Below are 24,368 nucleotides of genomic sequence, written 5' to 3' on the forward strand. Positions count from 1 at the left end.
AGACCCCAGGGGGTGTCTGGCTGTAATCACGGGTCAGGGGCTGACTGACTGGCCAGCAAGCCCGTTCCGCATCCTGCAGAGGGAGGGATAAAGCCCACATCTGAGAGACGAGGAGCCGAGTACCTTTTCAACACCCACACACTCCTCACCCTTTCCTCAGTTCAGCTCGTCCACCCCAACTACGCACAACAGCAGCACAGCAGTAAGGCCAATGGTGCAAGGCGCCGGGCTGCCCGGCCTGGCACACAAGCTGCATGGGAGGTGGTGATGCCCAGCCAGGTGGGCACGGACCTCCCCACCCTGGGTCTCAGGCCAAGGCCACAGGGCAGCAAAAGGAGGTGCTGTAAGGGGCCAGCCTGCGCTGCATGCCCACCTTCGACGAATCCCAGTGACCAGGGAGGAGAGGCACATGTGGCTGGTGGCCACCACCGTGAACAGGGCCGGCAAATGTTTCCTTCACTGCAGAATGTTCTAGAGGAAGGGGCAGTGCCTGGCATCCCAGCCCTCTAGGGAGGTCACTCCACCGACATTCTGCATGGAGAGTTCTTTCCATGTTCTGGTTACTAGTCCTTTGTCGGATCTTCCATCTGCAAATGTTTTCTCCTTCTCTGAAGCTGTTCTTTTCATTTTTTTTAAACAGTGTCTTTCCAGAGCAAAAGCTGTTAATTTTGATGAAGCCCACTTTATCACTTTTTCACTTTATGGGTTGTGCTTCTGATTCCAAGTCCAAGAACTCTTCACCTCCTCCTGGTTCCCAAAGATTCTCTCCTGTGCTTTTCCTAAGCACTTCACAGCTTTATGCCTGGCATTCGAGTTCATGATCCCTGTTGAGTTAATGTTGTATAAGATTGCCTGTTTATTCTTTTGCCGGCAGATGGCCATGAGCTCCGTCGCCATTTGTTGACAAGATGACTTTTGCACCTTTGTCAAAAATCAGTTCGGCAAATTTGCGTCAAAGTTCGTGCACAGCGCACAGAGCTGTGGCAAATGACACGAGGAACCTGTGGAGTGCTTAGCTCACCCTGCTATGCGGGGATGCACGCAGCCCTACAGCACGCATCGCAAAAGAAAATCTGAGCTCCCCTGGGCCCCGGATGAACCCTTAGCAAGTCCACGGCTGTTTCTTCTGGCATCATCCAGTCCCGCTGTGGCCGCTGCAGCTCCTTGGAGGCACACACAAGCCCTCCATAACAAAAAAAGGAACCGGCCAAACCTCTGCCCAAACTAGCATGTCCTGCTATCACCACCCTCTCACCACGCAGGCCCCCTCTGCTGGTCCAGTCGGGGAGGCATGTGGGGAGAAAGACGGAGCTGACTTTCCTTCACTCCCGCCGGAGGATAAGGCACCATGCTCCTTCCGGCACCCCTGGGGCTCCTGACCCCTCTCTCCAGAGCCACATCATATGGCCCTAAAGATGCATCTCTGCATTTTGGGCCCCATCCAGAATCTGTCTCTGGAATGACAGCGTCTCCCTTACTTTTGAAATGCAAGACCCTTCCTGCTGCAGCTGAGACCCATTTCCTCTTCAGTCCCCTGCGAAAATGAAAAACAGCTGGGAACCATCACGCCAAACACAGCCCACTCAAGGCTCTTGGACTGCACCACCCCCACCTCTTCCCCAGAGTTAATGGCAAGTTCACATGGCTGGTTCCATCTCCCCCTGAGCATCCCAGTTCCTGCTGGCCATGCTCGGGGAGGTTCTCTCCCCTAAGGCCTTTTCAAACTGCTTCCTCTCGGATCACAAAGGAAAACCAGTCCCACGCAGAGAAAGGAGAGAGGGAGGTGGCCCGTAGGGAGTGGCGCTCAGCCTCACTTAGTGAGCACTTACTATGTATGTGCCAAGCAGGCTGCTCTGTGCTGCAGGGACAGAGGTGCATTCAACACCTTGCATCCTTCCTTTCCCCGGGAACTTGGGCCCCAAAGATGGCCAGGCCACAGCTCAATGCCCGTGACAGCGGCGGAGGGAATGTGGGTAAGGGCTCCTTAGGAAAACTAGGACATTCTGAGGGAGATGCTGGTGCCTGAGACGGCCCCAAGGGGAGTGTGTCCTCTGAGAGGAGACGGAAGGAAGGCACATCAGATGGCAGCAGGAGAAGAGAGAGGAAAGGCACGAGCAGGGAGTGAGAGGCAGGACACACCGTCCAGGGCACGGGGACCCCACCCCAGTTTAGCCCTTTCACATGGGCCCTGCGTGTGGCACTAGGGTCCTTGTACCCCAGCATAACTAGGAAGGGTGAGAGGTCACAGGCTAAACCTCGCCCGTCGCTCTGGAATGTTGCTAAACTCCAAGTTGAGGGTGGCAGACTAAAGTCATTGAAAACATTATTTGATGGTAAGTAAAATGGTGATAGATTATGTCATAGAAAGCAAATTTCACTTGCTTGTTATGGATGAATGTCAAGACAGTGGAGAGATTTCACCCAGCCCACCGAGCCCGACCCCTGGTGTCTGGGCTGCTCATTCACTGTCCTCCCCAACTGGAGATACTTGGGGAGGAAAATCTAAGAAAACCAGATTCTACGACAAAGCTGAGAATGCATCCCCAGAGAGAGGCTGCCTGTTAAGTCAACAGCAGGCACTAGTTCTTCCTCAAAACTGGGAGTGAATCACAGACACCAGCAAGACTGAGTAACCTTGAGGCCCTGCAGGGAAAGTGGAAGGGCCTTGAGGAACCTGCCCAAGGGTAGGTCAGGGGCCAAGTAGATATGGCCCCTCAGGGATGGGGTGGGAGGGGAGAATCCTGGCCAACAAGTTGAAAGGGCATCCCCACTGTGCCTGGAGCAAATCTGGTCAATGTGGGACCCCTAGCCACTCCACACCTGATGCAGGCCAGGCAGTAGCTGCCTTAAGATCCCTCAATAGCAGCAAATATAACCCAGCACCTGTGCAGCAGGCTCCCCATCACTTCCAAATGTCTCTATCCTCAGTTAACAGGGTTCCCGCCATGAATCACAGAAACCCCAGCTCGAATGGATGAAAGCAAAAAGACTCACCCAGCAGGACAGTTCGAGAATGGTGCCAAATTTGGTGACAGCTGGACCAGGGACCCAGTGAAGGTTGTGCTAGGGTTCTCTCTCTTTCTCTCTCTCTCTTTCTCACTCTTTCTTTCTCTCTCTCTCTGACTCTCTCTGTCTTTCTCTCTGCCAGTCAGCCCTGCATGGCTCTCCTTGATTTATTCTCCAGGGAGGCCTCCCTAGTGTGACACAGTGACCACCAGCAACCCCATACTTACAGCCTCCTACAGCAAGGACAGAGGTCTTCTGTCTCCCAGGACCCACATATCCATCCCAAGGGAGAGCCTGGTTGGCCCTGCATGGGTCACGTGCTCCTCTTGAGCTGACCACTGCAGTCGGGAGGAGGGAACACTCCACTGGGCCAGGCTGGGCCATGTGCCACCTGTGTGGCAGGTGGGAAGTAAGAGATCATAATTAGCATTTCCCTGGAGTTAAACAGGCAGCCAAAATTTATCTTCACCCAGACGTTTACAGAGATCTCTAAAATTAACAAAGCATTTTCATAGACATTACTTCATTTCATTCTTGAGACAGAGCAGGGACACCTCTTAGGGGTCTGCCAGGTGTCTCCAAGCATGGAAATAAAAGAAAATCTTGAGTTCCTTCAAGGGAATTTGCAGGCACCTAGCTGGCCCTCAGAAGTAAATAAGCAACCTGATGAGCAAGAAGGTAACAACAACTTAAAACAATAACCAAGAAACTTAGAGCCACAAGGTGTATGATTCCTATCAAGACAGCATCTTAACATAGGTCTCTGAGTTATTTTTTCAGAAGCCCAAATCCCCACAAAATCGATCTGCTGGCATGCAGCCTCAGATAAGAGGGGAGGTGAGGACTGAACTCTGTCCACAGAGACCTGGAGAAAGTCATGACCACGGGCCAGATCATAATGTTCCTTTCTGCTGACCCCAAGGTTTTAGGCAAAGCTTCACTTCCTTAACCAGTTGCAAATGAGAGAGTTTTTGAATGCACCTATAGGAACTGTAAGCCCCCAGGTTTCAAGATATTCATCTTTTTAGGGCAAACCAATGTATAACCTCTGTATTAGTCCATTCTCACACTACTAATAAACACATACCTGAGACCGAGTAATTTATTAAGGAGAGAGGTTTAATGGACTCACAGTTCCACATGGCTGGGAGGCCTCACAATCATGGTGGAAGGCAAGGAGGAGCAAAGCCACGTCTTACATGGGTGGTGGCAGGTAAAGAGAGAGAACTTGTGCAGGGAAACTCCCCTTTATAAAACCATCAGATCTCGTGAGACTTATTCACTATCATGAGAACAGCACAGGAAAGACCCACCCCCATGATTCAATTACCTCCCACCAGGTCCCTCCCACAACATGTGGGAATTGTGGGATCTAGAATTCAAGATGAGATTTGGGTGGGGACACAGCCAAACCATATCAACCTCCATGTATTGATTTACAATTTTGCCTGTAATTTCTGCTTTCCTGAAATTTACCCCTGCCTTTAAAAGCCCTTGCTTGTAAGCCATTGAGGACATAGGGTCTTAAGTGTGAGCTGTCTGATTCTCCTTGCTTGGTGTCCTGCAAATAAACGCCCTCTGTTCTCCCACTGCAAAACCTCAGTGTGGACATGTGGCCTTACTGCCCTGGGTGAGCAGATCCCAAGTTTGGTTTGGTGACATTTTCACAGCAGCCCCTTGAGGTAACAGGGCAGGGATTACAGCTGCCAGAGAGGTTGAGTGGCTTGTCCACTGTGGCACAGCGAGGCAGGGGTATGAACCAGTTCTTGCAGTCCAGAGTGGGTGCTCTCTCCACTTCATGACACTGTCATGAATGGCCTTCCATAGCAGACACTCTTGTGTCCCACCCAGAACCCGGAACTCCTCTCCCTAGCTTCCCACCGGCTCCCCTGCAGCTCAGTCTGAGAGCTCTCTCTGGACACAGAAGCATGCATGGCCCCCAGGCAGACAGGACAAAAGCACCAGGGTGCTACTCAGCCACAGGAGCCTCACTCAGTGACAGGCTGGAGATGGGGACTCCCGCTTCCTCAGCCCTAGGGAGGGACGACTCTGGGCCATGCTCTACCCAGTCCCCATGAGTTCCACAATGAGACTGAGCCCTAGCAGGCCACAGTGGCCACCTGCCTGTTTGCACACCCTGTCTCACTGGACCACTTTCAGGTCCTCCTGGGATCACCTCCCAAATAAATTTGAACGCAAATTCTTGTCTCAGTCTGCTTCTGAGGAGCCCCAAATTAAGATATTCTGTCCATACTAACAAACTGCTGCCAAGAAGGCAGAGATAAGTAAATTCTGTACAATAAGTAAATCATGTCTCAACACCCATCAACCCAGGATGGCACATTCGCAGTGCGTGGCCATGGGGATTTCCTCACCACCCCTCAGAGACAGACGTGTCTAATTGACCATGGTGCTTTCTGAAGCTGTGTTCACACACAGGGAAGAAAGAGCATCGTGACCAGTCAGTCACCTCTGTCCCTGTAGAAGAGTTGGGGTGGTGGCAAGTGCACAGCTACTTCTCATCCCTACTCCAGCCCCTGGCTTACTGAGCCCTGAGAGCCATAAAACAAATGTCACTCTCATAATGTCACCAGTTCCCAAAATGGCTAATTTTCCTTCTTTCCATTGCCAACCCTGCTAAGAGTCACACGTACAGAAGGATTGGCTGGAAAATGCCACCAAATCCCTGACTGGTCTAGCCCTCCGACACTGGAAATAGAGACATAGAATCTGGAGAGCAGTTGGGTGGCACCGGGCCCACCTGGGTGAGTGGAATGCTAAACATAGGCATGACTCACATCTGGCTGGGAGGGCCCCACCACCGCTCCAGCGGGAGCAAGCCCTCCCCCGCCTGCAACACCATCTCAGGCCTCCATGGAGCAGAACCATGTGGACCATGTGGACAGCTCTGTCTACACTGGCCCTCACTGCACATCACATGGCTCAGGGAGGTCCTTCGGGCTCAGCTCCTCAGGTTACACTGAGGACATCTGGAGCCATCTGGCCCCAGCACCCGAGCCCACTTGGAGTCCCTGGATAAACACATCCCGTCACTTAGGAAAACAGAATTACATTTTCCATCATGATGAAATGAACCTCTAGGGGGTATTTACAAAAATGTATACTCAGCTAGGGGACAATGTGGTTTTTGCCAATTAGCTAGAAGAGGAAGTCTGGGGATCTTTGCATAGCATAACGAAAAGAAAAAACGTAAGAGAAAGAACAAGAGTGAGGAAAGGAAAGCCCAGTTAGGTCCACTTTCAAAATAAACAATTTTTACAGTTACAGACAGACCCTGATTTATACGCAGGCTGAGTTCCAGGACTGTGTTTTCAAGTCAGTCGTTTGGAGTTTGAAACTCATTTTCCCATAGAAACTATGTGCATTGGTCATAAAGTTAACCCATAGATGTCTCTTTCTTCAATAAAGTATCTGAAATGTACTACCATTTTCACCTTTCCAGTTCCCCTCAACATCATCTATAGCTTTGCTTCCCTAAGAAGTTAAATTCTGATGTCCAGATCAGGACAAGGGAGCCCCTTTCTCCTGTCAGTGAATGGCAGTGAGGAGGGCCTGGTGATGGTGTAAGGCACTCACAGGAACATGAGGCAGTGGCCATCAGCTTTGGAGACCCACAATATGAGTGTGACTCCCAAGGCCACCTCATGCTCTGATCAGATGCTCACCATGTCTTGGCCTCAGTCACCTCTCAACTCTGTCACCTCACCTCCAAATAGTCTCCGCCTTATGTTGCTGTTGTGGGGGGGATAAAGTTGTACAATGTATATAACACACAAGGAATGGTAGTTGGTCCCAAACAAGTGCTCTACAAATGGTGGTTATTATCTTTACTGTTGCCTTTCATATGCAGGAGGGAACTTAGCATGAAATCTGAGCATCTTAGGGTTTGAGGGGAACCATTAAATGTTCTCAACAAAGGACAGAACCACATCTACTTTGCACCCTAATACGATTCCCATTCCTGGCCCATGGCAGGCTCTGACAAGGATTTATTGGATGGATTGATGGGTGGGTGGATGGATGGATGGATGAATGGATGGATGGATGGATGGATGGATTGATGGGTGGGTGGATGGATGGATGGATGAATGGATGGATGGATGGGTGGATATATGGATGGATGGATGGATGGATGGATATATGAATGGATGGATGGATAGATGGACGGATGAGTGGGTGAATGGGTGGATGGGTTGGATGGGTGGATGGATGGGTGGATGAGTGAATGGGTGAATGAGTGGGTGGGTGAATGGGTGGATGGGTGGCTGGGTGGCTGGGTGGTTGGATGGGTGGATGAGTGAATGGGTGAATGAGTGGGTGGGTGAATGGGTGGATGGATGGGTGGATGGGTGAATGGGTAAATGGGTGAATGGGTGAATGAATGGACAAATGAAGGGATAGACAGATGGACAGATGAAGATCTAATACTTTTTGCTCACCATCGCCTCTGGCTTGAGTCTGGGGTTCTGCTGTCAGTGCCCCTCTTAGCACTACCACAGGCTTTGATACCACTGACTCCCTCTCACTAAGTAAAATTCTGACCCCAGGCTCTGAGGAATCATCTCTTTGTCTCAGCTCTTCTTTGGTCTCCCTCCCTGATTGCTAGCTCCCCAGGTGCCAGTTCCATGGAAGCATTCTCCATGACTATCCCTCTGTCTTCTCCCTTTCCCTCCACCCTCTCCATGGGTGTCATTCTCTCATGGAGTCAGCTCTCACTTCCCCTCTTATATCCAGCCTTGGCCTCTTGTCTGAGCAGCAAAGTTAAATTCCCTCTACCTGATGGTTACTTTCCTATTGAGAGCCCATCAGCACCTTAAATCCAAAACTCGAATGCCCTCTTTTTCTTGTTTCTTACCTCAAGCAGACCTACTCCTGTTCCTGGGTCCCCAGCCCTCATTAAAAACCATAAATCCTCTCATGGTCACAGGCTGGGACTCTCAAAGTCACTGTCACTTCTCTGCTCTCAGTCTCCTTTTCTACTCAATCAGGAAATGAGGAGAGCAACTGTTGTGTCTGCACATTCTCCCAGTCTTTATACCTTTGCCTGAGCTCAAGGCTATCTCTTGATCGATATAATGCACTAGTCACCTGCTACCTCAAGGAAATAGACACTAACAGCCCCAACAAACTGCCAAGTCATAGTAGCCAAGATGTCACCAGCTACTCTCTCACTGCATTGGTTGTCTATTGCTATAAGCAAAACATTCTAAGATTTACTGGGACAAAACAACCACCATTCTATTATGTCTCATGATTCTGTGGGTTAGGCAGGTTCTGCTCTGTGGTTCTTCTGCTCCACAGGATGTTGGCTGGTAAGGCAGTCCCCTAAGACCTCAGCTGGGCTGGAAAATCCAAGATGGTTCACTCACACACTTGGTACCTTGACAGAGATGGCAAGAACACTAAGATAGCTGAGCATCTTCTCTCTTCATGTACTCTCAGGGCTTCTCCCTTCCAAATTGGTAAGTTCAGCCACACTTCATACGAGGCAGATTAAGGCTCCCAAAAGTGAAAGTTACCAGGTCTTCTTAGGGCTTGGATCCATCTTGGATCCATAACTGGCACAGCACCCCTTTTGCCATATTCCATTGCTTCAAGGGAGTCAGAGGACCAGCTCAGATTCAACACAGGAGGGCATGATACAAGGCTGTGAATATCAAGAGATGTGGTTCATTGAGGCACTCTTTGAAGACCAGCTACCATACTCATTCAAGTTAGTTCTGGGCAGGCCAGTGGCCTCCTCCATCTTACAGCTAGCATCATTTGGATCCTGTGGTCTCCAAAGGCATCATAGCAGAGGCAAAGAGAGAGAGCTGGAGGAAGTACAATGACTTTCAAATGCCTCTGTCCAGAAGTGACATATCACTTCCACTCACATTCCATTGACCAGAATGACCATGTGATCCCCACTTGACGACAAGGAAGGCTTGGAAGTTAGAGGAGTGGATGACTATTTGGTTGGCCTTAAGTGTCTCTGCTCCCTCATCTATTTCCTCTGTGGGACGAACGCAGCATATGCAGAGATTCCCATACTCTGTTGGTGGGAGTGTAAACTGGGACAGCCTCCCGTGGAGGACAGCAGGACCAACCCACCTTCTTGCTTGCTCTAGGATGAGTTTGGAGAATACATCATGTACAGGGCCCTTCCAGCTCTAAAAGTCAGTGGGCATTACTGAGCCAGAAAACGAGGGCTTAGTAACATCAGAACACCAGCCTCTCATCTTGTTTCCAGAGTATTCTGTGGTGTTGGCCGGAATGGAGAGGAATTCATTCCTCTGAAGGGTGGAGGCTGCTTGAGTAACTGCTGGTTCCCACCTAGTGAAGAAGGAGAACACACAGCATCTTTGTGGGAGCCAAAATTGGCCACATTGGTCAAGTCAGTTTGTATGCCCTTTTCACAACACTGTGCCTAATTCAGGATGCTATATTAGAGCAAAGGTGGAGAACCCAGAGGGAAATCCAAGAATAACAAAGCCACTTGACCTATAAGTGAAGGTGGAAGGGACTGGGATTCACTAACCAAAAGACAGGAAATGACTCAGCATCAAATGCCTGCAAACAGCAAGTCATGAAGAGTGTGGACATCGGTGTCAAATGGACCTGGGGTTGGGCACTGACTCCATCACTTATAGCTGTGGGGCATTACTCGTGTAGCTTAACTTCTCTGAATATCATTTTTCTCACCCATGAAACAGCCAGAGTCAGTGTAGCTTCCTCAAGGTGTTCTTATGACCATTAAATGAGATGATGTGTGTGCCGGACTCATGGTACATGCTTGCTAAATGTGGGTGTTGTTATTGTTGCTGCTGTTGTTCTTATTCCTATTTCCATTGTTGGCATAACACGATGATTCCTACAAGTTATTGGTTTCTTGAGAGAGGGAATTATTAATACTCTGTCAATGACACTGACCATCAAATCCTTAAGTGTGACACAGAAGACCCTCTCATCCCTAGCCTCTGTCTACCCCTCCAGCCGTGTTCCTACCTCCCACCACACACCCCATCCATGATGAACGACTTATACCTTGAACTTGTTAAAGGTTTCTGTGTACAAATAACAGAAATGAACTTGAGCAAACTTAAGCAAACTGAGGATGTCCTGAATCCAAGGAAGCGTCGAAGAACCAGGACTCAGGAAGGGCAAGAACCAGGCAGCTCTTGGAGTTGTGGGGACTTCAGAGGCCACTCTACATGCTCTGAGGCTCAGAGATTCACAAGAAAGGCAGCCTAGCACAGCAGAAGCATAGATGGCCTAGGATCAGTAAAGTGTAACTCAGGCAAGGCCATCTGGGGAGAGGGATGGCCACACTAATAAGACAGGGTCAGTCTTCCTGGGCACACAAATCGTGTTGCCTGGGAGGAGGTGCATGTGTCACCAGAGTGCAAGAGATGATCTCTGAGGGTTTAGCTGCAAGCAGGTTTTGTTTTGTGTTAGGGAAAAAAACCTATTAAGCACACCAAACTCTTGGTCTTATGGGAATTACTACTTAGGAAACAGGAAAAATAGGCCTTGACTCTAAGAGAATCCGTTTTTAAAGTTTTAACTAAGTAGAGTTAGCACATGGATATGGCAAGTCCCAAAAGAGAGTTCATGGATGAACTCATGAAGCATCGCCTTGAAGGGATAGTTAGGAATGCTAGCATACTTAGGAAGCATCGACTTGAAGGGATAGTTGTGTGCTCATTATAAATGGAAGTGGTCTCATGGATCTAGGGTTCTAAATTCAAATGTTTTCAGGGACCACACAGGAAATCTAAATGAAGAATGTGGGCCGGGTGTGATACAATAGGGAGCGGTGGAGGCAGTGGTGAACTAGAAAGGGTGTGCTCAACTCGCTCAGCTGCACGCAGCTGTCACAATGAAGACATGCAGGCCTGATGTTGTCCAATCTTTTGTTTTCAAAGAAAAGCTGGATATCTGTCTTCTTATGAGAATTTTTCAGATTTTGACATGCGAGTACCTAACTCAAAAGTTGTAAAACAGTAGGTGAGCCACACATATCGCGTCCTGGACTGAAGCCAGCCCATGGGCACGCAACCTATGTTCCCACCAAGATGGAAGGCAGACCACCAATACTGCAGACCCTGGGAGTTCCACTACCCCTGTTTTCTTGGCAAGGAGAAAGATAACTCATTTTATGAGGCGAGCATCATCCTGATACCAAAGCCTGGCAGAGACACAACAAAAAAAGAGAATTTTAGACCAATATCCTTGATGAACATTGATGCAAAAATCCTCAATAAAATACTGGCAAACTGAATCCAGCAGCACATCAAAAAGCTTATCCACCATGATCAAGTGGGCTTCATCCCTGGGATGCAACGCTGGTTCCACATACGCAAATCAATAAACATAATCCAGCATATAAATAGAACCAAAGACAAAAACCACATGATTATCTCAATAGATGCAGAAAAGGCCTTCAACAAAATTCAGCAGTCCTTCATGCTAAAAACTCTTAATAAATTAGGTATTGATGGGACGTAGTTCAAAATAATAAGAGCTATTTATGACAAACCCACAGCCAATATCATACCGAATGGGCAAAAACTGGAAGCCTTCCCTTTGAAAACTGGCACAAGACAAGGATGCCCTCTCTCACCACTCCTATTCAACATAGTGTTGGAAGTTCTGGCCAGGGCAATCAGGCAGGAGAAAGAAATAAAGGGTATTCAGTTAGGAAAAGAGGAAATCAAATTGTCCCTGTTTGCAGATGACATGATTGTATATCTAGAAAACCCCATCGTCTCAGCCCAAAATCTCCTTAAGCTGATAAGCAACTTCAGCAGTCTCAGGATACAAAATCAATGTGCAAAAATCACAAGCATTCTTATGAACCAATAACAGACAGAGAGCCAAATCATGACTGAGCTCCCATTCAAAATTGCTTCAAAGAGAATAAAATACCTAGGAATTCAACTTACAAGGGATGTGAAGGACCTCTTCAAGAGAACTACAAACCACTGCTTAATGAAATAAAAGAGGATACAAACAAATGGAAGAACATTACATGCTCATGGATAGGAAGAATCAATATCATGAAAATGGCCATACTGCCCAAGGTAATTTATAGATTCAATGCCATCCCCATCAAGCTACCAATGACTTTCTTCACAGAATTGGAAAAAAACTACTTTAAAGTTCATATGGAACCAAAAAAGAGCCCACATTGCCAAGTCAGTCCTAAGCCAAAAGAACAAAGCTGGAGGCATCACGCTACCTGACTTCAAACTATACTACAAGGCTACAGTAACCAAAACAGCATGGTACTTGTACCAAAACAGAGATATAGACCAATGGAACAGAATAGAGCCCTCAGAAATAATACCACACATCTACAACCATCTGATCTTTGACAAACCTGACAAAAACAAGAAATGGGGAAAGGATTCCCTATTTAACAAATGGTGCTGGGAAAACTGGCTAGCCATATGTAGAAAGCTGAAACTGGATCCCTTCCTTACACCTCATACAAAAATTAATTCAAGATGGATTAAAGACTTAAATGTTAGACCTAAAACCATAAAAACCCTAGAAGAAAACCTAGGCATTACCATTCAGGACATAGGCATGGGCAAGGACTTCATGTCTAAAACACCAAAAGCAATGGCAACAAAAGACAAAATTGACAAATGGGATCTAATTAAACTAAAGAGCTTCTGCACAGTAAAAGAAACTACCATCAGAGTGAACAGGCAACCTACAGAATGGGAGAAAAATTTTGCAATCTACTCATCTGACAAAGAGCTAATATCCAGAATCTACAAAGAACTGAAAGAAATTTACAAGAAAAAAACAAACAACCCCATCAAAAAGTGGGCTTATCATAAGGATATGAACAGACACTTCTCAAAAGAAGACATTTAAGCAGGCAACAGACACATGAAAAAATGCTCATCATCACTGGCCATCAGAGAAATGCAAATCAAAACCACAATGAGATTTCATCTCACACCAGTTAGAATGGCGATCATTAAAAAGTCAGGAAACAACAGGTGCTGGAGAGGATGTGGAGAAATAGGAACACTTTTACACTGTTGGTGGGACTGTAAACTAGTTCAACCATTGTGGAAGACAGTGTGGCAATTCCTCAGGGAGCTAGAACTAGAAATACCATTTGACCCAGCCATCCCATTACTGGGTATATACCCAAAGGAATATAAATCATGCTGCTATAAAGACACATGCACACATATGTTTATTGTGGCACTACTCACAATAGCAAAGACTTGGAACCAACCCAAATGTCCAACGATAGACTGGATTAAGAAAATGTGGCACATATACACCATGGAATACTATGCAGCCATAAAAAATGATGAGTTCATGTCTTTGTGGGGACGTGGATGAAGGTGGAAACCATCATTCTCAGCAAACTATCGCAAGGACAAAAAACCAAACACCGCATGTTCTCACTCATAGGTGGGAATTGAACAATGAGAACACTTGGACACAGGAAGAGGAACATCACACACTGGGGCCTGTTGTAGGGTGGGGGGAGTGGGGAGGGGTAGCATTAAAAGATATACCTAATGTAAATGACGAGTTAATGGGTGCAGCACACCAACATGGCACATGTATACATATGTAAAAAACCTGCACATTGTGCATTGTGCGCATGTACCCTAAAACTTAAAGTATTACATATATATATAGAGAGAGAGAGAAAGAAAAGGCTGTACAACTGTGCTCCCTCAAGAAGTGCCTATGCCAGAGGCTTGCCTGTCTCTTTCCATTGAAAGATAAAAATTCTACCTACATTTATTTTAAACAATATTTTATTATGAAAATGCCCAACCATACAGCAAAATTGCAAGAATCTCATCATCAGGATTCTGCCATTAATATTTCACTGCACATTTCCTTTATCACGTTTCAATCCATCTCTCCACCTATCCATCCAGCCACCTGGCTGGAATCCTAATGATATTTTTAGTGAATTCACAGAAATGAAGTTTTGGAAAAAGCACCTGTGTCGTTTCCCTGTTTTCTTTCAGATTCATATCCTGACCTTTCCTTCTTCTGCTCTGCACTGAAGGAAAATACGGTTCCCAGGCCCCACTGTCTCCTAGCTTCTCGGTAAGTTTAGACAGGGCAGGCACTGGTGGAAGACTGGAGGGGGACAGGCAGGGAGAAGGTCGGGGTGTTTCTCTCTCTGTCTCTCTGTCTGTGTGTGTGGTGTGTGTGTGTGGGGTGTGTGTGTCTGGGGTGTGTGTGTGGTGTGTGTGGTGTGTGTGTGTGGTGTGTGTGGTGTGTGTGTGGCGTGTGTGTGGCGTGTGTGTGGTGTGTGTGTGGTGTGTGTGTGTGGTGTGTGTGTGGTGTGTGTGTGTGGTGTGTGTGTGGTGTGTGTGGTGTGTGAGTGGGGTATGTGTGGGGGGTGTGTGAGGTGTGTGTGGTGTGTGTGTGTGGTTGTGTGTGGTGTGTGCGGGGGTGTGGGGGGGTGTGAGGTGTGTGTGTGGTGTGTGTGTGTGGTGTGTGTGTGTGTGCGTGTGTGTGTGTGCCTCTCTGCTTAGGTAGCACTTGAGGCAGTGGCTGCATCTCCCCCATAGCTCCAGCTCCCCTGATGCACCCCTCTGGAGTTCTAGCTGCCCCCAGACATGCCTGCAATGACTCCAACTTCCTCCAGGCAGCCCCAGGTCCTGGATTCTACTGCATCTTCTACTGCATCTTCTCCTGCTTTATCCCTCCAGGCCTGAGAAGCGAGGAACTTCCTGTTCTTGCTATTGTCTTCATTGCCTGTTCTGTCTGCATTTAGCTTCTCATCTCTTTCCACCACCTGTGGAAATGCCTCTCTGTATCGCGTCCTCTATTTGAAATAGAGTAGACCTCTTTATCCAAGGGGGGTACATTCCAAGACGCCAGTGGATGTCTGAAATCGCAGATAGTACCAAACCTTATACATACTATGTTTTTTTCCTATATATACATACCTATGATAAAGTTTAATTTATAAATTAGGAACAATATGAGATTAACAGCAATAACTAATAATAAAATAGAACAATTATAAAAACAGGCCGCCATCACTACTCTTGCTTTGGGGCCATTATTAAGTAAAATGGGGTTTACAAGCACTGCGACACAGCAATAGTCGATCTGATAACGTAGATGGCTACCAACTGAGTCACGGGTCGGGGGTAGCACACACAGGCTGGATGTGCTGGACAAGGAGATGATTCACATCCACAGTGGGGTGGAGCTGTATGGCACAAGATTTCATCATGTTACTCAGAATGGCGAGCAATTATTCAGGAGGTTATAGGATATGCAACTTCCGCAATTACTCCTGCAGATTGTATTGTAGATTGGCCTTTGGAGATACCTTTTCAGGGTTTGGTGTTTTTTTTTTCATGTCTGATACCCCTGGCTCCACCTGGACCCCCAAACCCCACTCCCGTGGCCCCACCCGGAAGCAATGCAGCACACAGGAGGGCAGCTTCAACCCCTCTGATTTCATCGCCACCCCAACCGATCAGCAGCAACCCTGGCCACCTCCGCCCCCTTCCCCCAAACTGCCTTTGAACACCCTTAACCTAGGAGCTTTGGAGGAGAATGATTTGAGTACTAACTCCGTCTCCCACATAGTGTGGCCGGCCTCGTGTCTATTAAACTCCTTCTTTGCTACGATGCCATCGTCTTTCTTTGTGCAGGGAACAGGAAGAACCCCTCCGGCAGTTACACTGGCTAACACACTCCTCCAGCTTTCCAGCAAGTTCTTTCTTGGAGGGAGATCCAAGCGGGGCACGCCATAGCCGCCACAGCAAGCTACTCTTTAGTAAAACATCATCTAAATTACATCTTGATTTCATCCTAAAGGAACTCCGCTTGAGTTGAGACATAAACAAGAATAGGGCCTAACCTCAAAAAACTGATGTATATAATTCCAGTGCCAAAAGTCTCTTCCCCGTGGACACTTTTAAATAGATCATTAACCACATGAGACACAGTGGATGGGCTTGTTAGGGCCCAGCTGGGATGAGTTAACTTATCTACAAAACACAGAGAAATCTTTGAAGAGATAAATCTCATCCAGTCGTCAATGGAACATGGGAAACTATGTTCTAACACTGACATTTGTAACCAGGGCTAGCAACAGGGCCAAAAACCTTCTGCTTGAATTTTGGATAACCTATTCTTTTTAATCAGATATAATTTGTATCCAAAAACTGCACTCATTTTAAACATACATTTCAATGAATTTTGACAAATATGTACACCTATGTACATGAAGTATACATTTTGATGAGTTTCAACAAATGCATAAAAACATGGTCCTGGCCAGGTACAGTTGCTCACGCCTGTAATCCCAGTACTTTGGAAGGCCGAGGCGGGCGGATCACGAGGTCAGGAGTTTGAGACCAGCCTGACCAACATGGTGAAACCCTGTCTCTACTAAAAATACAAAAATTAGCCAGGTGTGGTGGTACGCACCTGTAATCCCAGCTACTCAGGAGACTGAGGCAGGAGAATCACTTGAACCCAGGGGGCGGAGGTTGAAGTGAGCCAAGATCACGCCAGTGCACTCCAGCCTGGGAAACAGAGCAAGACTTCATCTCAAAAAAAAAAAAAAACAAAAAAAAAAGAAATCAGGTACCCACCACCTCCCTGAAGATAGAGAACATTTCCATCACCCAAAAAGGTCCCCTCGTGCCCTTTCTTTGTCAAACTCCCACCTCCAGCTGCAGACAACTACCTATCTAAACTGTAAATTAGATTGGTCTCCTCTAGAGTTTCATATAAATGGAACCAGATTCTATGTACTCTTCTGTGTCTGGCTTCTTTCACTCAGAATAGTGTCTATGAGATCCACCCAAGGTGCTCTGTGAATCTTCAGTTTACTCCTTTTTATTGCAGCGTAGTATCCCATTGTCTGAATATACCATAATTTGTTTACTTAGTCACCCTATTGACAGATGTCTGCATGGTTTCCATCTGTGGGCAATTATGATATGAACATTTGTGTACACGGCTTCATTTCTCTTATAACCCATTTTTAAACTTTGTACTTTGAGATACTTGAAGATGCACATGCAGTTGTAAGAAATAATACAGAGAGACCTTATATAGCCTTTACTTGGTTTCCTCCATGGCAACATCTTGCATAACTGCAGCACGATGTCACAATCAAAAAATTGATCTTGATAGGGACCATGGACCTTGTTTGGATTTCACCAGTTTTACGTGTGCTCATGGTATGTTTGTGTGTGTGTATTTAGTTCTATATAATTTTGTCACATGTACATTCTTGTGACACCACCACAGTCAAGATACAGAATGGTCTGTCACAAGGATCCCTCATGCTACTCTCTTATAGCCACAGCTACTCCCTCTTTCCCTGTCCCTAACCCTTGGCAACCGCTAGTCTGTTATTTTGCACCTCTATAAATTTTTCACTACAAGAATGCTGCATGGATGGAATCATGCAACAGATGACTTTTTGAGACTGCCTTTTTTCACTCAGCATAACTCCCCTGAGATCCATCCAACCTGTTGAATGCATCCATGGCCTTTTCCTTTTCATTGCTGAGTAGTATTTTGAAATACAGATGTACCAAAGTTTGTTTAACCTTTCACCTGCTGAAGGACGTTTGAGTTGTTTCCATTGGGGGCTAGTATTAATATAAATAAAGCTTCTATGAACATTTATATACAAGTTTCTGTGTGAATGCTAAGTTTTTGAATTTTTGGAATAAATACCCAATAGTGTGATTGCTGGGCCGTATGGTGAGGGCATGTTTACTTTTGTAAGAAACTGCTGTACTCTTTTCCAGACGAGCTGTACCATCCTACATTTATATCAGCAATGTATAAGTGATCCAGGTTCTCTACATCCTCGCCAACGTTTGGTGTTCACACTATTTTTTATTTTAGCCATTTTTATGGGTACATAGTGATAGCTCATTGTGGTTTCAGGTTGCTTCTGCCTAATAGCTAATGGTGTTGACCATTTTTTCATGAGCTTATTTGCTAACTGTGTATTATCTTTGATGAAATACCTGTTCATGTCCTTAGCCCGTTTTCTAATGGAATTGTTTGGATTTTTTTTTTTTTTTTTTTTTTTTTTTTTGAAACAGAGTCTTGCTCTGTCGCCCAGGCTCTGGAGTGCAGTGGCGCAATCTCGGCTCACTGCAAGCTCCGCCTCCTGGGTTCATGCCATTCTCCTGCCTCAGCCTCCCCAGTAGCTGGGACTACAGGCGCCTGCCACCATGCCCGGCTAATTTTTTTGTATTTTTAGTAGAGACGGGGTTTCACTGTGTTAGCCAGGATGGATTTTTTTACTGTTGAATTTTAAGAGTTCTTTATATATTCCAGATACTAATCTTTTGTTGGATATGTGGGTTGCAAATATGTTCTCCCAAGGTGTGGCTTTGCTTTTCAGCCTTATAACAGAGTCTTTCACAGAGCAAGACCTGTGAGTTTTGATGTCCAATTCATCCATTTATGGATTGTGCCTTTTTAATTGTGCCTGTGGTATCAAGTCAGGCAACTACCTCTTCACCTAGCCCTTGGTCCAAAATATTTTCTCCTATTTTTTTCCCTAAAAGTTTAGTGCTTTCACAGCTTAAATGCAAGTCTGTAATCCACTTGGGGTTAATTTTATATAATGTGTGAGGCTGAAGTTGAGGTTTATATTTTTGCCCCTCTCCAACACCATTTGTTTAAAAGGCAGCGCTTCCTCCATCAGATTGCCCTTGTACCCTTGTTAAGTATTAGTTGGGCATATTTGTGTAGGTCTGTTTCTGGGTTTTCTATGTTATTCCATGAAACTACATGTTTACCCCTCTACCAGTACCTCGCAGTTTTGATTACTGTAGCTATATAGTAACCCCTAACGTCATAAAACATTCATTTTTAAGAAAACAAAATAATTTGAACTAAATGTTTAACTTATCTCCCATTCTATTAGTCTGTTATCACGCTGCTAATAACATACTGGAGACTGGGTACTTTATATAGGAAAGAGGTTTAATTGACTCACAGTTCAGCATGGCTGGGGAGGTCTCAGGAAACTTACAATCATGGCAGAAGGGGAAGCAAACATGTCCCTCTTCCCATGGCAGCAGCAAGCAGAAGTGCTGAGCGAAGGCGGGGTGGGGGCGGGGTGGGGGAAGGCCCTTATGAAACCATCAGCTCTCGTGAGAACTAACTTACTATCACGAGAACAGGATAGGGGAAACTGCCCCCATGATTCAATTATCTCCACCTGGTTCCTCCCACAACATGTGAGGATTATGGGAACTACAATTCAAGATGAGGTTTGGATGCGGACACAGCCAAACCATATCACCCATCCTTTGAAGATCCGGTGAGAGCTCCGATACAAATCAGAATCAAGAAATTCGCAACAGGTGGGCCTGAACCCAACCACTGCTAGAGAGAGGACAAAGGGTGGGGCTCGACCCTTGAGCAGCAGGGAAGGGAGTAGAAAAAGCTCAGCAGGTTCCTGCCTTTCACAGGTCAGTGGTATCAGGGGTAGGGCTCTCATCATAGGGAGCAGGGCACCTGACACACAGGGCAAGACATTCCAGGAGAGGCCCTGGCCAGGGGGCTGGAGCAGCCCCAGGGACACCAGGCACATGGAGAAGCTGCAGCAAACGGATGCTGTCAGCACTGCATTTCTCCTACACGTCCTACAGGTGACCCAGGCTATTGAGTGGTAACACCCAGACTCTGTCTCAGGCATCTTTTCTGACTGCAGGAGCTCACTCAGCCTCAGTCAATGACAGACAGGGCATAGGTGAATAAAATCCCAGTTTCTTCAACCCGGTTGGACCTCACCTCCCTGCTTCCTAGCAGGACAGAGAGAGCTCCAGCCCAGGAGTAACTGGCTTGATGACGCTGATACAACCTTGGTTCAGATGGAAGAAGAATGGGCCACAAGTCACAGGCACAGGTGGCCCTTGACTTCCACCTGGGTGACCTTTGCCTGCATCTGCACTGGTGTCCATACTGCCTTCACTGCAAGAGGCTGCACCCTTGCTACCAGCTGTTCCCCTGGCAATGCAGGCTCTCATGGGAAGTAACCCCACTCAGCTGACTGCAGCTGCAGCTTTGGCTATCCGGATAGTTGAGGAAGGGGCAATGACTTGAATGCTGTTTGATTCTTGTCATAAAAATGGGGAAGAGAGGAGAAGAGAGGAGAAAGGAAGGAGGGAAAGAGGAGAGGAAGAAAGGTCACACTAGCAATAAGTCTCCTTAGCAATACAACTGAGACAATGATGGAAATCCCTAGAAAGGCCAGAAGGAGAGAATCTTCCACTTTGATCAACATTCAGAGGACCAAAGGAAAAGAGACAAATTAAACAACACACTCATAACACTAAAAATGCTTCACTCAAGATGGTACCTTAAAGAAGACATGTAGCTATGGGATTTTATCATCTTCTCTAGGTTTCCTAGAATGAACTCCTCTTAGCGGGTAAGCTACCGTTCAGTTTCTAAACAATGTCAGATCTTTGCTTCCAACTGTGTCTGAGAGTGAGTGCAAGGTGAGTGCCTACAGCTGAGCCTCCCCCAGGACAGAGCTCACGCACCAGGCTGCCCTATCAGGGCTCTGCACTGAGCATGGGTGCACCTGGTGGGCTAATGCCACCTGACTTGGGAAGCCCATGCAGGCGGAGGGCTCCCCAGACCAGCAAACTTCCATCCGGATTTTACACTCAGATGTTTTGGCAGAACCATTGCTGACTCCAGCATCCAGACGTCTGAAATCATTTTTCCTGAGAAATCAAGCATAGACGTTACAAGCTTCCAAAGACCATTGGCTTGAAACCATATACCCAAATCCATGGCAAGCCATTTAGCAAAACGACGTAAACATTAGAGCATTAAATTATGCCACGTAGGTCTGTTCAGAAGAAATCTGTGATTATGCGCATCTCAGACACTATGGGAAGTCAGATGCGACCACCCGCCAGTCACTCAAGCTGATCGAGATAGAAACAGGGAGGGCTCCAGAGCAGAGCCGGGTAGATGGACACGTTCAAAACAGGGACAGTCCCCCTGCTGCAAAGCTGGTGTGCAGGCCTGGCCCTGGATGGCTCTTGTCTTGAGTGTGTGTGTTTGTGATTCTGGGTCCCTCAGCTTGCAGGGTCGGCCCCAGTAACCTGCTCTGGCCAGTAGAGGGAATCAGAGGGCCGAGGGACCAAGCCGGTAGCACAAGCAGTCCCCACCCTAGCTGGCTTGGGGAGACCTGCCTTTTAAGGCCTCCTGGGTGAACGTCCCCAGGCTCAGAAGGAAGCAGCTCCCAGGAGCCCAGTGAAGCAGCTGGAGCCACAGAGGCCTGCAGGGTCATCGGCTCCTGAAACATTGGCCCTTTGGGACGATGCTTTTTCTCTCCCTTCCTGAATGAGCCCCCTGAGAAAGCACTGAATGCGGGGTCAGACCTGTCACCATTGCCCTGAAGCCAGCTCCTGAGGATGGTCTGTTATACTCCAAGGCCAAAGGAGCCACCCGAGGGATGAGAGGGAGACCCGGCACTGAGAGCTCCACACAGCAGAGCTAGGGCTGCAGGGATGTCCCCAGGGTGAGGTGGACGTTTGGCCAGAGAGGAGAGAAGAGAAGCACAGGACTATTTATGGGTGCATTACAGACATGGGACTGTTTATGGGTATATTACAGGCACAGCACTGTTCAGGAGTTCATTACAGGCATGGGACTGTCAGGGGTGAGTTCCAGGCACAGGACTGCTCAGGGGTGCGTTCCAGGAACAGGACTGTTTATGGGTGCATTCCAGGGACGGCACTATTCAGGGGTTCATTGTAAGCATGGGACTGTTCAGGGGCCCATTCCAGACACAGACACACCTGAACAGCAGACTGTTAGGACTGCTTAGAGGCGCATTTTAGGCAGAGGTACAGGGGCCTGGGGCAGGTCTATGGTGGTGGTTAGAAGAGGGTCTCGAAGGGAAGGGTATTTGAGAGGAACTTGTCCTGGTGCATGAAGCAGCCAGGGTGGCTCTGCCCAAGGGTCTGGCGCATCATCAAATTGGGACTCAGCCATTTCTTCCCCAGGGCCACTGCAGGGACCCCAGTTGCCTGGTGGCCTTCTAGGAGAAGCAGAGAGGCACAGAGGCCAACGTCTGCTCTCAGAGAGGCCTGAGCAGGAGCCACGGCTCCACCGTCATTGTCCAATGACCTTTGTAAAGCCACTTAACTCACATTCAGCCTCCCTTGCAGTCTTTTTTTCTATCAGATGGGGATGTTAATAACAGTGCCTGTCCCCCAGGGTTGTCGTGGGGTGCAGGGCTGCACACCGTGGAAGGGCTCAATATCAGGGAGCCGTATTAGCATCATGTGGTTTTGGCTCAGTGTGCAGAAGGGGCAGGAGATTGTTGTCTGGGCCTGGGACAGAGGCTGGGCTTCACCTGGGGCCAGGGCAGGGCCCCCAACTCGCAGGGCCTTGGGTGCTGCACCCCATCCCCTGAGGAGCCCCAGGTCCCCTCCCCCACACCTGAAGATGGGCCTTTCTCTTAGAACTAGCAGGGAGGTCCAGGCCATCGCTTACACAACAGCATTTGCTGAGGCAACCACATGCAGACGTGGTCCTGGGCGCGGGGCCTACCACTGGGAACACCACCGGGCTGGGCACCCTCGGTGTGGAAGGCAAAGGGATCAAGCACTTCTTCCTCCTTGGAGGCTTCCCAGACTCCCTTTGCCTCCCAGATGGCCAGCCCAGAAGCCCACGTGGCCCAGGTGGTCAGATGGCCTGGGGTGCGGTAGAGCCTCACACCACCGGCTGCTGCTCCTTAAGATGCACTTACGATGCCCCAAAAGCCCAGCAGCCCGGGCCAGAGAGGGCTCCTGCACACTCAGAAACCCACCCGGGCAGTGTGGTGGCAGCCCCCAGCAGGACACTTGTCTGCCCCTCCCGATGCCTTGCCCGCCTTTGCCACCCTGCTCTATCCCGAACACCAGCCACTAGGGCCTGCACCAACTGCCCCTTTGGCACCAGCTTCCCAATGGGCTCAGCCAAGAGGGGCCCAGCAGGAGCCTGGGGAGCAGGAAGAGAGAAGCCTGGCATTGACCCCATCTCCCTCCCCGCCTGCAGTGGCTGCAGCTGCCCGGACCCCACAGCTCTGGGGGCACCTCTCTCAAGGCTCCACACTCCACATTCCAGACACCGAGCCCTCATGTGCCTCTCTCCGGCCCGAGGCGGCAACAGCTCTTACTGCGGCCCCTCCCCGGGGACGTCACCTGCCTTACTGTTTCCTAACTCTGCCCACACCTTTGTCAGATGTCCCCGCGGCAGCAACTCTGCCACCTCTCTCCTGCCCAGACCCTGGCTGGCAGGAGGAGGACATGCAGGGGAACCACTGGAAGCCAGGAGGAGAGAGTTTAGGCTTAGCTCCCAGGCTGGAGCCCTTCAACTACCAAGTCTCACAGCCCAATGCCCTCGCTTCAGGGTCCCGTTGGTGGAGGCAGGGCACCAGGCAGACCAGATGGGGCAAAACCCAGGCCACCGGGGCTGACGGCTGAGCGTCTAGACCTCAGACCTTAGACCCAGGTAAGGCAGCAGCACCAGGGAAGCCCTAGGGTAGGAGGTGCCCTCGGGTAGGAGGTGCTGGGTGAGAACGGTTGGTGAGAAGAAGCGCCTCCCAACCTCTCTGCAGCTTCCTCACTAAATGGCTTGGAACTCAGGATATATGTTCCCACAGCCACAGTGGCCCCAAGTTGGTCAGGCTGTCAGGCGGCTCCAGAAACCACACACCCCATGACATGAGGAAGCCACAGACAGAGACACCCAGTTTCCCACTGTTTCCTTGGAAACGGCAGGCCCAGATCCAGCTCATCCACCCCCCTACTCTCAGCTAGAAACAAAGCCTGGCAGCTTCCCCTGGCACTCCCGGCCCACCTGGTCCACCCACTGGCTGACCCCAGCCTCTGCCCTGCAACTGTGGCCAAAAATGATGCCCCTTCAGCTTGGCCCCAGAGCGGGGCAGGGGCCAGGCTTCCAGGGGTAGCTCAGGCCAGAAAGGGACGAACTGGGAGCTTGGCCTTCCCAAGCAGTAGTGCTTGCTAAGGTTAGGGTTGGGGTTGGGGATGGGGCGCAACCCTGGCTGGAGAGCCCCAGGCGGCTGTGGGTGGGTCCCTGGAGGCCTCTGCAGGCCTGGAGTTCCTGGGGCTTGGATGGGCAACGGTCCAGGGATCTTGACCTTGTATTTGAGGATGGTGGGAAATCCCAGCACTTCCGGCTCCCCGACCCCAGGGACTCCCCTAGCAGAACTCAGGGAGCAGAAAGCCCAATGGTGCAATGCGATGCAGGCCCCCCTGCAAAGTCATTCCCCAGGGGCTGACCACGCAGAGGCTTGGGCCGCCGATACGCCAGGCAGGGGCATT

At 48.6% G+C, this 24,368-nt stretch overlaps 4 annotated features.

Moving 5' to 3' along the window:
• Positions 437 to 1,112: an enhancer, noted in NCBI's record as "H3K4me1 hESC enhancer chr2:238359577-238360252 (GRCh37/hg19 assembly coordinates)". NCBI's record gives its function as "activates a minimal SCP1, AML or CMV promoter by ChIP-STARR-seq in naive H9 embryonic stem cells {active_cell/tissue: H9 hESC(naive)}" and the evidence as "EXISTENCE:reporter gene assay evidence [ECO:0000049][PMID:30033119]".
• Positions 1,113 to 1,790: an enhancer, noted in NCBI's record as "H3K4me1 hESC enhancer chr2:238360253-238360930 (GRCh37/hg19 assembly coordinates)". NCBI's record gives its function as "activates a minimal SCP1, AML or CMV promoter by ChIP-STARR-seq in naive H9 embryonic stem cells {active_cell/tissue: H9 hESC(naive)}" and the evidence as "EXISTENCE:reporter gene assay evidence [ECO:0000049][PMID:30033119]".
• Positions 5,333 to 5,392: an enhancer, noted in NCBI's record as "active region_17366". NCBI's record gives its function as "activates an Ori minimal core promoter by ATAC-STARR-seq in GM12878 lymphoblastoid cells {active_cell/tissue: GM12878}" and the evidence as "EXISTENCE:reporter gene assay evidence [ECO:0000049][PMID:35858748]".
• Positions 9,007 to 10,206: an enhancer, noted in NCBI's record as "MED14-independent group 3 enhancer chr2:238368147-238369346 (GRCh37/hg19 assembly coordinates)". NCBI's record gives its function as "activates an origin of replication core promoter dependent on BRD2, BRD4, P300/CBP and CDK7 cofactors, and independent of MED14, by STARR-seq in HCT116 cells {active_cell/tissue: HCT116}" and the evidence as "EXISTENCE:reporter gene assay evidence [ECO:0000049][PMID:35650434]".

This window comes from Homo sapiens, chromosome 2, assembly GCF_000001405.40.
Source record: "Homo sapiens chromosome 2, GRCh38.p14 Primary Assembly".
In the NCBI taxonomy this organism is placed as follows: domain Eukaryota; kingdom Metazoa; phylum Chordata; class Mammalia; order Primates; family Hominidae; genus Homo; species Homo sapiens.